We start from the raw sequence: 14805 nt of genomic DNA, 5'->3' as shown, positions 1-14805 counted from the left end.
CCTTGAGGAGGAAGCTTGTGTTTGAGGCTTCTTAAATCTTCTATTTTGTCACTCCTGCCCATGTGTCTATAAAAAGTTTCATTCGTTTCTGTCTGTAAGCAGCATTCCTGTGCTTGGCCCAATTCCAGATCTCAGCCACTAGCCAAAGTCCTTGTCCCAGGAGTGAGCACATACCCCAAATATTTGCTCAGAAATGGCAAATGCCCTGAAAGCACTTTAGACCCTTACATCACCTATGAATGGTTCTCTGCTCTCTGGAATTTTGTTTCTGATACTCCTTATTGCCTTTGTAGCTCTTTGATACCTTTAAACGTATGATTTTTACAATGTATCTGATGCAGGGCAGGCAAGCCCCAAAGTGGAGCTTAGCCCACAAGCGTTCTTGGCTTTGCCCAGGAAAGAATTCAAGGGCAAGCCAGAGGTAGAAGAAAACAGCATTATTGAATAAGCAGTGTTACAGCTCTGTGAAGCTCCTGCAGAGCAGGGCTATCCTGTAGGCAGAGAGTAGCAGCTCAGGGCAGCTTTGCAGTCATATTTATACCCACTTTTAATTGCATGCAGATTAAGGGGCAGTTCATGCAGAAATTTCTAGGGAAGCAGTAGTAACTTTTGGCTCACTGGGTCATTGCCATGGAAAGGGGCAGTAACTCCTGGGTGTTGCCATGGCAGGCTGGTAGGCATGTCTGATTGAAAGTTGCTTTTGCTCTGGCCCTGTTTTAGTTAGTCCTCAATCTGGCCTGATGTCTAAGTCTCACCTCTGGAGCTGAGTCCTGCATCAGATTAGATACTCCTCCTTAATCTTAAACAGGCTTCAGAAGGGCAGAGGTCCATCTTCTGTTACTGCTTCCTGCTGAGCTTATGGGCATAGGCTCAAACCGTAGTAAAAAATCTCTGGATGCCTAATCTAAGGGGCCCAGAGGCAGAATGCTTTTATTCTCCAGGTCAGTAGATGGGATGGGTTGGAAGCCTTGTGCCAGCATTGTTTTACCTGGAACGGTTGTAATCTAGAATACATTAACTTTAAGAGGCTAAACAAGCAAGGGCAAAAAATTAGTGAAAAGATAGTGATCAAACATCCTAGGAGGGGTAAAAAACAGAGCAGGAAGAAGAGCAAAATTAAAGTGCCTTTTCCTACCCACAGCATCATGTTACCACTTCTGGCTGAGTGTTGATTCTTTTAAGCAAGTAGCAGAGATCCTCCAAAGGCTCATATATGTAGTTTGTGGTGTCCTCCTTTTGTGCCTGCGACTCATACAAAACATGTTTAATCCTGGACGGGTGTACCCAACTAGCTATTCCCTGAAGTTTAACAGTAGTGTGGGTACTCAATAACACCTGATAGGGGCCCTTCCATTTTGACTGTAAATGATCTTCAGGGGATCCTTCTTTCCAAGTTTTTAGCGGGACTAAGTTTCCTGGTCGAACAGGGAGGTTAATTATTTCCCTTTGGGGAGGGGGCAATATTTTATTTCCATATGCTTGGAGGGCCTTCAGAACCTGGCCTAAGTTGATAATATGGGTGCTCATTCTATGTGTCTCTTAATCAAGCAGGAGGTCTGAAGTTAAAAAGGGTCTCCATGAGTGAATTCAAATGGACTAAGTTTCAGAGTTCCCTTTGGAGCCATCTTTACACATGAAAGGGCTGTTGGTAAGAGAGAAACCCAGGCCTCTGAGATCTTCCGACAGAACTTTGCTAATATCCTTGTTAAAATATGAGCTTTTGCTGCGTTACCTGAGGATTGAGGTCTCCAGGAGGAGTGAAGTTGATAGGTAATACCTAAGGCTAAGGAAACCTGCTGGGTCACTTTAGCTGTGAAGGAGGATCTGTTATCACTCTGCAGACTTTTAGGTAATCCAAATCGTGGGATGATCTCTTTAAGTAAAAATCTGGACACTTTTAATGCCTTCTCTGTCCTTGTAGGGAAAGCTTCAGTCCACCTAATGAAAGTGTCTATAAATACTAGCAAATATGTTAGTCCCCTGAAAAGTGGCATCTGAGTAAAATCTAGTTGCCAGTCCTCCCCAGGGTATGTCCCTCGATATTGTACAGATTTGAGTAGAGGTGGGGCTATGGGGTGTCTTCCTGGGCCATTACAGGCACAAAGTTCATAGGCCTTGGTGACCCTCTTTACAGTCTGGAATAGTTTCTTTCCCCAAAAGATTTGAAAACCTAATTTGAACAGGGAGTCCCATCCCAAAGGTGAGGAGTCATGGAAATACTTAACTATCTTCCATTGCTCAGCCTTGGGAGGAAAAAGTTTGTTGCTTCCTAGTAACCATGCTGAGGGATCTTTTTGTAAGCCTTTCTGTTCTGCCCAATTAATTTCCTCATGGGTATAATATCGTGTGGCTGACATGGGTGGAGTACCTGGCATTAGTGCAGTGGCCTGTAATACTGGTGTTCTTTAGCTGTGGTCTTAGCTGCTCTGTCAGCCAGAGCATTTCCTTTGATAATAGAGATTTCTCCCTTTTGGCGTCCCCAGTAGTGAATAGTGTATAACTGCTACCTCCTTTGGGAGCTGGACAGCATCTAAAAGTTCCAGGATCTCAAAGTGATATTGTATGGGGGATCCCTTAGCTGTTAATAGTCACTTTTCTTTCCATTTAACAGCATGAGTATGGAGCACCAGAAACCCATATTTAGAGTCAGTATATATATTGACTCTTAAGTCTTTTCCTAATTGGAGGGCCCCGATTAATAAAGCAATTAGTTCTGCTTTTTGAGTGGAAGTCTGGGGAGACAATGTTTTTGCCTTAGTGACTGCTTGTTGGCTAACTGCTGCATAACCCACCCTTTTTACTCCCTCATGTGTAAAGCTACTCTTCTCTGTAAACCACTCAACATCAGGATTAGGCAGGGGCTCATCTTTGAGGTCAGGCCTGCTAGAGTAGATCTATTCCGTGGTTTCCACATAGGAATGAGTGAGTTGGGGATCTGTTTCCTGGGACATGAACTTTGGTAACAAGGTAGCAGGGTTTAAAATTTTACATACGTTAAGAGTTACATCTGGGGTGTCAAGCAGAAGGGCCTTGTATTTAAGTAAGTGAGCTCCTGTTAACCATTGGTGTCCTTTTGTTGCTAAGACCTCCTGTACTTGGTGGGGGCTCATGATATCTAATTGTTGTCCAAAGGTAAACTTTCTGGCTTCTTCTACCAGTAGAGTGGTGGCAGCCATGGCTCACAAGCAACCTGGCCACCCTGCTGCCATCTGGTCTAGCTGTTTAGAACAGTAAGCCACTGGTCTGGAGCTATTCCCTAACCTTTGAGTTAGGATGCTGTGTTAGTCCATTTTCACACTGCTGATAAAGGCATACCTGAGACTGGGCAATTTGCAAAGGAAAGAGGTTTAATTGGACTTACAGTTCCATGTGGCTGGGAAGCCTCACAATCATGGTGGAAGGCAAGGAGGAGCAAGTCCTTGGGACCAAAGTCCTTGTCCCAGGAGTAAGCACATACCCCCAATATTTAACCTTTTGCAAAGATCTGGGCTATATGGGGGGATACCTGATACCCTCACTTTCCCAGAAAATTAAAGAGCTGGATTGTGTCTCTGTCAGAGTCTTCCCTAGTAGAGCTAGAAACTAATAAGTCATCTACATATTGCAAGAGGGACCCATTAGTTTACTGTAGTTCCCTTAACTCTTTGTCCAAATCATTGCCACAGAGGTGGGAACTATCCCTAAAACCTTGGGGAAGAACTGTCTAGGTAAGCTGAGATGCAGCATGAGTGTTTGGATCAGTTCATTCAAAAGCAAAAATATACTAGGAATATAAAAAGAAAGCATCCTTTAAGTCTAACACTATGAACCAATAAGCATCTTCAGGGACTTGGGTCAATATTGTAAGGATTAAGAACTATTGAATGAACTGTGACTACTGCCTTATTAACTGCCCTTAGATCCTGAACAAATCTATACTCCCCATTTGGTTTTTTTACAGGTAAAATGGGGGTGTTACATGGAGACTGACAGCATTGTAATAATCCATACTTTGGGAACTTTGTTACTAGGGCCTGGATGCCACTCTGAGCCTCGGGTCTCAAAGGATACTGTTTTTTCCATGAATAATTAACATTGGGTTTTAAAACAACCTCAACTGGGGGTATATTAACAGCTCTGCTGGGAACTTCTGTGTCCCAAACAGAGGGGTCTACTTGAGAAACAATATGTGACGGAAGGGAGGTCTTCTTATCTGTGTTAAGAAAAGCACTTAAAGTTAGGAGAAGTGTCCCTTCCTGGCCTGTTGGCCTTCTCATGAGGCATCCCAAACTGAACTGTGGCCTGTAATTGGGAAAGTAAGTGTCTCCCCATGAGAGGGATAGAACACTCAGGCATGAGGAAGAACCTGTGGGAAAACATGGTACCCCATGGTACAACCAAGGGGGTGAGTGAATCTCCTAATTTTTGGATGGCCATCAATTCTCATTACTGTACAAGAGTAGGAAGACAGTGGCCCTAAGAAATGGGTTAAATCTGAGTAGGCTACTCCTATATCCAATAAGAACTCAGTATTTTTGCCTGTTCCATCAGGAGTTACCCGAGGTTCTTCCATGGAGATTGTAAGGTGTCCAGTGGGAGCCGTAGAGGACCTTGGGCCTCATCAGTCCTCTACCTTCTTGGCCATTATGGGTCTGGGTGTCTTAAACTCCCTCTTAAGCCTGTGGCAGTCTTTCTTTCAGTGGCGTTCTTGATTACAGAAGGCACACTGATTTTGACCTAGAGGCTGTTGAATGGGGGGCTCTTGTCTGAACATCCCAGATGCTGATCTCATGACATTTCCTTGACATGGGTAACCCTGAGGCAGTAGGGGGCCCACAGCAGCCTCTAACAATTGTGCTTTTTGGCCAATTCTTTTTTTTTTTTTTTGCCTCTCCCTCTGCCCTGTCCCTATTATTGTAAACCCCAAAAGCAATGTTTAAGAGTTGACTCATGGAGGTTTGGGGTCCCATTGTTCCCTTTTATAGCTTCCTCCTAATGTCAGAGGCAGACTAAGTAACGCAATGCACACCCAGGAGAGCTCACTCTTCTGGGGAGTCTGGGTCTGTAATAGTGTATTTCCTGAGTGCCTCAACTAAACAGCCCTGAAATAGAGCAGGATTTTAATCTTTCTTCTGAGTTATTTCTCTCACCTTTTCATAATTTACTGGCTTGACTGCACACTTCTTCATACTATCTATTAAACAAGTTAACATATGATTTCTGCATTCAAGATCTTGAGGTCCTCTCTGGTAATCCCACTGAGGGTCGAAATCTGGAGCTGCATCTCTTCCCACACGATACATGGCATGGCCTGGATTATGCACAGCCACTCCATCTGCATGTTCATGAGCAATACCTTGAATTCTTTGCTTTTCCTGTACAGTACAACAAGTGGATGATAATTTCTGCATGCCATGCCAAGTTAAAGCAAAAGACATGGTCAACTTAACAAACTCCTCTATAAACTTTCCTGGGTCCTCTGAAAACCAACCAACCAAATTTTTCCTTGCAGAAAGCCAAATCAAACATGGGAAAAGGCACATATTCTCTGATTGTTTCTCCGTCTCCATCAGCTGCCTCCTGCAGTAGACACAAGTTCAATTTAGGGGGCTGATCTGGGGCCCCACTCCTAGTAGTACTGGTCCGGCTTACTTCCTCAGGCAATGGGGAATAGGGACCAGGGCGTGTTGGATGAGGGGGAGGGGTTCCTGATGACTTTGGAGTAGAATTCTGCACTAGAGAACTAGTGGGGCCCCTCTCAGAACTAGGGGAGGGGGGAGGCTCCAAAGAGGGAGCACAGACCTCCTATGGGGAGCAACTAGGAGGGGTTCATCTAGGATAGCTGATGCAGCTTCTGGGTCTCTGGGAGTATCAGGAGCCAGAGACATTCTACAGCTAGCCCTTAAGTTAGCATTCTGGTAGAGAGCTATAAAAACCTGTATAGGCTGGGCACAGTGGCTCACACCTGTTATCCCAGCACTTTGGGAGGCCGAGGCAGGCAGATCACAAGGTCAAGAGATGGAGACCATCCTGGCCAACATGGTGAAACCCCATCTCTACTAAAAATACAAAAATTAGCTGGGCATGGTGGCACATGCCTGTAGTCCCAGCTACTCAGGAGGCTAAGGCAGGAGAATCTCTCGAACCCGGAAGGCAGAGGTTGCAGTGAGCCAAGATCATGCCACTGCACTCCAGCCTGGCGACAGAGCGAGACTCCGTCTCAAAAAAAAAAAAGAAAAAAAAAAAGCCTATACATAGGGAACTTCTTCCCATTTTCTTTACTTTTTACAAAACAAGTCTAATTGTACAGTATCATTATGACAAAGAACCATATCTAGGCCAGATTTGTTGATTTGCTAATTTTTATTGAACCCAAACTTTATTGCCATAGTAAATGAGTTTTTTCTTTTTCAATTTGGCTGATAATGTGAACTAACTCCAGTTGTCTAAAAGACACCTTAGTGGCAAGGCTTTTGGGTTGCTTGCTGTTGTCCCTATGTCTAGTAAGGGTCACTACAAGGGGTTTCAGTTAGCCTAAGTTTAGTAAATGCCTACTTACTTTTCTCTTTTCATTTCCCACTTTCTATTGATAGCAAGGTGTTACAAAAGTAGATTACAAGCTTCAAATGGGCAGTTAGGTGGCTGTTAAGCCAAAATTCCACAGAGAGTGAGGGTTGTGCAGAGAGATGGGCTAAACAGATAGTGACTGTGTAAGGGAGGAAGGGAAGGGTAGACAGCGTTGCCTAGGTGGAGACCTCAGAGGCTCTGACTTGCCAGAGAACCTACCCAGTAGCAGAGACACTGAAAAAGAATATTGGGTGGCCACTTGGCTAATGCTGTAGGTAGCTCTGTCAGGCCAGGGGCCTAGGAACTCCCCATTTCCTTTGACCAAGAGGGGCTTGAGCAAAGCAGTTATAAGACAGCACACAGGAAAGCACTTGGAATTGGCAATTAAGAAAATAATACTTCAAACTTTAGGGCAGAAAAAGGCAAGACCAACATTCGCCTGGGGGAGCGGCTATAACCCACAATACTATAGGGAATGTCAACACCAAATACCCCAAAGCATCTGGAGGGTGGTCAAAATTACCAATGCTGAAAATTCAGAGTGTCCAAATTGCAGCCAATAAGGGTCCCCTCGCCAAGTGTTGAAAACCCTGGGCCACCCAGGGGGTGGCCAGCAGTGAACCCAAGACCAAGTTGGGGTCACAGAACGACATGACTCTGGCATCCTAGAGTGAACAAAACAGGGGTCTCTCACAATCAAGTGTCTCGTTATAATTACCCACACACAATTAACAGAAAGTTAAAAGCAAACATAAGACTGCACCCATTTTAGGACTGAAAATAAAATGACTGATGGAACAATACAATGGAGTCAGAAGACAAAGGAGTGGGAGAAGGGGTGACAAGGACATGCTTTCTGGCATTCAAACAATGAGGGACTTCTAAGCAATTGCCTAGCCAAAGGCTGTTACTTTATTCCCTAGTTCTCCTGATACTATGGGAGTGTGGGCAGAAGGAACAGTCACCTCTTCACCAGAGTGGAAACGGCGCTGACTGATTTTTAGTGTGGGACCTTGGTGAAGATCTCTCCAGGATACCTCAACTTGCATGGGCTTGGTTCAACTGCAGCAGTGGGAAGGGCTTGCATGGGTGGTAACCCACCGGGCTGCCAGCAGGAGGGGCGGGTGTCACATGAGGCAGACTGCATTATGGCCACTCCACCAGTAGGCTCAACTGTGGCAGTGGGATGGGCCTGCACAGGTAACCCACCAGGCTGCGGTGGGGAGAAGCAGGCCCTACACGAGGTAGTGGAACTGTGGCTGCTTGCTCTTCTGATGGGCTCTGCTGCTTGCCGGGGAAAATGTAGCTCTGAAAAGAGCCCTTGGTTGGTGTTAGAGTATTACAGCTCTGCTTTGCTCCCTCTCTGCTCCTCATCTCGTCAATTGCCATCCACTGACTGCTGTCCTGCCTTCCTGCCCTCCCATCGATGATTGCCTTCCTGCCAACTGCTGTCCAGATGATTACTTTCCTGCTGACCATCACTCTGTGGATTGCCAGCAGGCAGATCTCTGACTGCCGCCTGGCCAGTCCTTGACTACTGCCCTACTGACTGTCACTGGCCGACTGCCACCTTACAGACTGTGGCTCCCAGATCTCCGACTGCCATATCTCATGAAGCCATCTTCTTTCTTCACCCTGCATTGGGTACCAAGCTGATGCAGGGCAGGCAAGCCCCAAAGTGGAGCTCAGCCCAGGAGGGTTCTTGGCTTTGCCCAAGAGAGAATTCAAGGGCAAGCCAGTGATAGAAGAAAACAGCATTATTAAAGAAACAGTGTTACAGCTCTGTGACTGCTCCTGCAGAGCAGGGATACCCTGTAGGCAAGAGAGTAGCAGCTCAGGGCAGTTTTGCAGTCATATTTATGCCCACTTTTAATTGCATGTAGATTAAGGGGTGGTTGATGCAGAAATTTGGGCTCATTGAGTCATTTCCGCAGAAAGGGGCAGTAACTCTGTGTTCATGGCAAACATAAATTGAAACGGCATGTTGGGGGGGCATCTGATTGAAAGCTGCTTCCACCCTGGCCCTGTTTTAGTTAGTCCTCAATCTGGTTCAGCATCTGAGCCCTGCCTCTGGAGTCCAGTCTCACCTCCTATCTCATATCCAGCCTTTCCAGTTATTGTAAGTGGTAATGTTTACATGCTTCAGACTACTGCATCCTACATGGAAAGCTAAATGTTCAGAGGCCTGTATTTAATAGAAGTCTTTTGGAAGGCTATATGAGCAAGCTTTTAAAGTTTGCTGTAAACTTCAAAATAGCTATTGAAGTTCCCCCAAATAGAAAGTGATTAAACAGACAATACTCAGTGTGATAAGTGATACGTCACATTTGGGGTGTAATTGCTCCTAAGCCAAGGCTAAAGAAGCTAGATTTAGGCAGTCAGGGGACACTTTTTGGAGGCAGTGTTGTCTAAGATGATAACCTAAAGGTTATGCTGGCCTGTACTTCAGACTGAGAAATAATACCAAATTTCTTTCCAATTTGTTTCCACCTGAACCATCTTATTTGATCTTTGCAGTGATTGTAGGGTTTGTTTATATCCCCATTCTACAGATGAGGATAAATCTTCCTTACAGGGTTTGGGTGGAGTGTTTCAGGTTTTTCAGCATAAGTTTTTTGATTCCAAAGGCATAATCTTTATCTGCCTAACCTTGCTATTTTTCGTAAATAAGTTTTTGAAAACAAAGTGTATCGTTGAGATCTATTCTCTCATCAGCAAAAGTATGGCTGTACTTTCCAGTTGCCTCTTGTATAAAAAAGTTAAATACAGTATTACAAAGATTTTAGAAAATATAGGGAAGAAAGAAAAAAACATCTTTAATTCAGTCTTGTTTTACTTAGTTGGAATAATAACTGTGAGTGTGTTTATGTATGATTTTATCTTGCTTTTTTTCACTTAACATTACAACATAAGCATTTCCAAAGTTTGAATACATAATTCATAAACCCAAATCAGTGGTTATTTAGTAGTCTATTGTGTGGACATACCATAATTCATTCTCCTGAGAGGCAGTATTTTATGGTTGTTGAGAACACAGACTTTGGATTATTTCCTGGTTCTACCACCTTTTATCTGTATGACTTTGGACATCTTAATTTGGGTACGTCAATTTCTCTATTTTAAAATTGAGAATATAGTACTCGTCTGTTGAAAGGATTAAATGAGTCAACACATGAAAACCTCTTAGAATATTGCCTGATACAAAGTAAATGCTATTTATGAAAGGCTATTATTACTGTTAATTTTCCACTGATAAGTATTTAGCTTAAATTCATTTCTCATCTAACAGATTATGCTATTATGAACATCTCTGTTTTTATAGATTTTTGCGAGGCTATAGTTACTTCAGACTTCAGAGAGTAGAACTACTGAGTGAAAATGTGTGTGTGTTTTGAGACTGAGTCTCACTCTGTTGCCCAGGCTGGAGTGCAGTGGCGCCATCTCGACTCACTGCAACCTCCACTTACCAGGTTCAAACAATGCCCCTGCCTCAGCCTCCTGAGTAGCTGGGATTACAGGCGTGGTGGTACACGCCTGATTTTTTGTATTTTTATTAGCTGATTTTTTTTGTATTTTTAGTAGAGACAGGGTTGCACTATGTTGGCCAGGCTGGTCTCAAACTCCTGACCTCAGATGATCTACCGGCCTCGGCCTCCCAAAGTGCTGAGATTACAGGTGTGAGTCATCACGCCCGGCCAAAGTGTACTTTTTTAAAGCTCTTGAAATATCTCTCCCAGTAGATTGCTAATTTACAACTTGCCAGTCCCACTTACAATGTCTTAGAATGAGTATTGCTCTGTCCTGTGAATGCTGTTGGTAAAGTATAATAAATATAGCGCAGCAACATATATATAATATGTATTTATATATAAATATATTATATATTATTATATATGTTAATATATTATATGTATATATTATATATTATATGTATATATTATATATTTATATATTATATATTATATATGTATGTATTATATACTATATAATATATAAAAATTTACATATAATATATAAATACATAAACATATAGCACAGCTCATCTCTCTCTCTGTCTCTATATATATATGTGTACATATAAATTAGAATATGTATCTTCATAAGAGTGGGGATTATCGAAACCCTGGTGGTCTAATGCTCAAGTCTGCACTCTTTACCACCATCCTATTTTGAGTGTTAAGATGTGTTAATTTAGGTGCAATCTTATTAGATATAAATTTTTAGAACATAATCCACTGGTCAGACACTACTGCCGCATTCACCTGAGATAAATATCTTGAGGAAGGGTCATTCATGCCCTAAGTAGGTTTAGTAGCAGGTGAAGACTGAGGAGGAAACCTGAATCTGGTTTGGAGTTTAAGATGTTAGCCTTGTCCATCAGTGCTGGACCTGGACAAGAATTTGTCCAGGCATTTGGACAAGGATTTTGTCTGATAGACTTGGGAAGTTATAGGAATAATTTGGGTTTGGACTGAGAGAATAAGACATTTATACCTTTCTCTGTAGGCCATGCCCTGCACATATTTTCCTCTATTTTCTGTCTCTTGTAATTGACTATAATCTGGGCTGAAATTTTGAAAACTCGTAATTGTTATATTATTGATTAAAGTATAATGTTCTGTTTTCTTGATTAATTTTTTAGTTACTCTTTTGTCACTATATACTTTTTAAAACTGTTTAAAGATTAAGAAAAGCTTCGCCAGTGTCTGTTTTCTTTTAAAACTGGCAGCTGTAAAAATCAGTTATGTTTCACTTGATCATGACCCTTAATCTACCAACCTATCCATTTTTATAGGAAGAACAAAATGTTCTTATCCCTTTCTGTAAAAGTTATCCTAGAACTGGGTACACAATCTTCTCAGAAATTTTTAAAAATGCATTTTAAGTGATGAATGGCCCAAGTTTTCAAATTCTTATTTTTATATGACAAAGGCAAAGTATTTTATGTTTTATTTCAATGTGCATTATTCATTTTTCAAGATACAGTTCAAATCCCATTCTCTCAATAAAGGCTTCCCTGACTGTTCTGGCCTATCCAATGTTTCTCAGTTCTAACTTATACCATTTGCTATATGATCAGGCACTACTTTTTGAATCAACTTATATAGCTTCCTTTTTTTTTCCTTTTTGCTGTTTACTTCCCATGTTACTATTTTATTTTATATTTGTGTGATGTTAAGATTTTATGACAATTTTCAGATAGATGTATGTGTGAGTGGTATGTGGGGTATGGGTAGCTAAGTATCAGATCTTACAGGTGAAGAGGGTCATTTATACCCTGGAAAACCATAGAACTTTTGGCCCCCTGCTTTAGCCAGCAAAGTAGAGATTATCAACTGGGTAGGAAGGGAGAGGCGAAAATAGAGAATTTCTGCTTGAACAAGGAAGGGTTTGGGGAGGCGGGAGCAGAGAAGGTGTATATCAAAAACTTCAGACAAATGTAATATTTATGTTTATCAAAAGAAGTTTGAGAAGTATTACTCTAGATCTGTACCATCCAATAAGGTAGCTCACATGTGGTTTGTGAGCACTGGAAATGTGGCTAGAGCAAATTGAGATGTGCAAATACACAGTGGATTTTAGACTTAGTACGAAAAAAAGAATGTAAAATGTAAAATATCTCATTTTTATATTAATTACATGTTGAAATAATATTTCAGATATGTTTGGTTAAATAAAATATATTATTAAAATTAACATATCCATTTATTTAACCTTTTAAAATATAGCTGTTAGTGAATTTTAAAATATATGTGTGGCTCATATTTGTGGTTCTCATTATTTTTCTGATGGACAACACTGCTCTAGAATGTGAGTTCCATGAGTGCAGAGGCTGTCTCATTCATGTCTATAATACCTAGCACCTACCACAGTGCCGAGCATGTGGTAAGCACTCCCTGAATGCTTGTTCAATCATATGTCCTCCCTCCAACTAAATTACAAACTTCTCATGACTCAGAGTGCATTTTAATGTTTTGAGTACTTCCTTCTGGGCTTAGAAGAGTGTTATACACTAGTAGACATTCAGAACATATTTATTTGATGAATGAATAAATAAGAATGCTTTCTGGTGCAAATTTCCAGCCAACTTCCCAACTATTTACTTACTCTGCTTTTAGCCAGTTCCCAGCCTGTTTTCAAACATTTTCCATGTGATGTGTCTGGCTACTTGCTCCTCTCCCCTTTCTTCCCCTCCCTTCATACTCTTCTACTTTTTGGACATTTTCAAACCAACAGGATATGTAGGCCCTTACAACCTTTTATTTATTTATTCAAAAGCCATTTATTTGGCCCCCTCTGGTTTCTAGTTTTTTGTTCATTCTTAAAAATTCATTTAAATTTAACTGGAGGGGAATGGAGCTTGCCAAAAACTGAATGGAAGAATCTGGCTTTTCTCTGTCTCTGCCCAGACACCTGTGCAGGCCTTTCTCAGTGGGGCTCACTACAGTGTGATTTACTCGACAGTTTGGAACCCACTATAGGCCATTATCTTTTATAACTAAATAACTAAATGGGAGTGAGAACAAGAGAGAGAATGTGAGCCAAGGAAGAAAAAGTATGCAAACCTAGATCTGAAGATCTGAGTTTGTCTGGGTGATGGGCCTAGCCCTATCACTTACTAGGAATGTAGTTTTCGAAAATCTCTTCTCTCGAGGCTTCATGGATCTTCATCAGAAAGAAAAAACGAGATAGGATGCCAAAAGGTTGATTTCCATGGTCTCTTCTGGCACTAACATATGGTGATTCTTTTTTTTTTTTTTTTTTTCAGATGGAGTCTTGCTTTGTCACCAGGCTGGAGTGCAGTGGCGCGATCTCGGCTCACTGCAACCTCCACCTCCTGGATTCAAGTGATTCTCCTGCCTCAGTCTCCCAAGTAGATGGGACTACAGGCAAGTGCCACCATACCCAGCTAATTTTTGTATTTTTAGTAGAGATGGGGTTTCATCATGTTGGCCAGGATGGTCTTGATCTCTTAACCTCGTGATCTGCCCGCCTTGGCCTCCCAAAGTGCTGGGATTACAGGCGTGAGCCACCGCATCTGGCCCATGTGGTGATTCTTTAGCCACTAATCAGAGAGGGCAGAAGTGAGAAGCAAATGAAGACCAGACCCTTGTAAATTCAGGATGGGACCTCCATTGGTTTTGATCCATCCCCTGTGGCCTTGTGTGCTAATTCATGTTATTCTGACATCAACCTTGTAAACTCTTTTACCCTTTACTCCTACTTGTAATTGTTTCCTCCCCAGTATTCTTTCTGGGGACAGAATACTCATAAGAAGGGGGCTTCTTCATGGTTCACTTTAGCTCAAATTACTTTTCGTTGTTCAACAATTATTTTTACCCTTTTCACTTATATCAGACCAAAAAGTCTTTTTGAATGATTTCTAAATGTCAGTGACTATCCCTAGGACTTAATTTTCTTGATTAGAAATATTGATGACACCTCCAAATATCCTCAGAAATCTTCAGCTCTGTTGATCCAGCAGCTCAAGAAAGTTCTACACCTCACATTCCAATAATTTGTCTGGGTCACCTAAGGTCATAGAATGTTAAAGTTGAATTAGACCTTTGAGATTATTTGGTATAAGCTTCTGTTACCATTAAACTGAGGCTTGGAGAAATTGTTGTTCTCCACACAGCTAATTTGTGGGAGGTTCATAACTAGAAACCAGCTGTTTTATTCCTTACAACTCTGTGCCCCAACCCACTATGGGCCAATAGTCCATAAATGGAGCAGTGATCAGAGAGAAACATAAGAACCACCTGGTCTGAGGTGGAAAATTTCCTCAGGCTTTTCGCTCCACTGATAGCTGTTTCTTAGTAAATCACATGATCATCTCTCCAGTAAAGAGATGGATCCCTTAACAGTGAGTTGCTCTGTTGTCAGTTGGGCTCAGTGGCACCCTTTGCCCTCCTGGAAGGAATGTAGGAAGATATGACTGACATCATTAGGAAGCCTTACTTAGACCTTGTTCAATAATCCTTTTACAATTCTTACAAGGTATGAGGCATAGTGTTGGGTACTAGGGACACAGAGATGAATGAAATACTCAGGGTTCTGCCTTTTAGAAGCTCCAAGCTTTTTCACTCTGGCTTTTTCACTTCTCCATTATATCTGCCCTGAACCCAAATAAAGGCAAAGAAAACTTTAAGACGACTCTCTTCCCTGCCCCCTACTCTCTTTATCATTTTATGAAGATGTAAAGTTAAAAAAAATAATTTTAATCAAATATATTTTCATAATTTAAAATTTAAACAA

General features: G+C 41.8%; 1 protein-coding gene across 1 annotated transcript in view, besides 2 other annotated features; it reads left to right on the top strand.

Annotated features, from left to right (window-relative positions):
* HPSE2 (heparanase 2 (inactive)) overlaps positions 1-14805 on the top strand; it is an 858875-nt gene that overhangs the window by 11057 nt on the left and 833013 nt on the right. The window lies entirely within an intron of this gene.
* Positions 49-343: an enhancer, noted in NCBI's record as "tiled region #10329; HepG2 Activating DNase matched - State 5:Enh". NCBI's record gives its function as "activates a minimal TATA promoter and a strong SV40 promoter by Sharpr-MPRA in HepG2 cells {active_cell/tissue: HepG2}" and the evidence as "EXISTENCE:reporter gene assay evidence [ECO:0000049][PMID:27701403]".
* Positions 7292-7791: an enhancer, noted in NCBI's record as "H3K4me1 hESC enhancer chr10:101056861-101057360 (GRCh37/hg19 assembly coordinates)". NCBI's record gives its function as "activates a minimal SCP1, AML or CMV promoter by ChIP-STARR-seq in naive H9 embryonic stem cells {active_cell/tissue: H9 hESC(naive)}" and the evidence as "EXISTENCE:reporter gene assay evidence [ECO:0000049][PMID:30033119]".

The sequence above is a fragment of the Homo sapiens genome, chromosome 10, assembly GCF_000001405.40.
Source record: "Homo sapiens chromosome 10, GRCh38.p14 Primary Assembly".
Lineage (NCBI taxonomy): Eukaryota > Metazoa > Chordata > Mammalia > Primates > Hominidae > Homo > Homo sapiens.
This window is presented reverse-complemented; position numbering and strand designations above follow the sequence as displayed.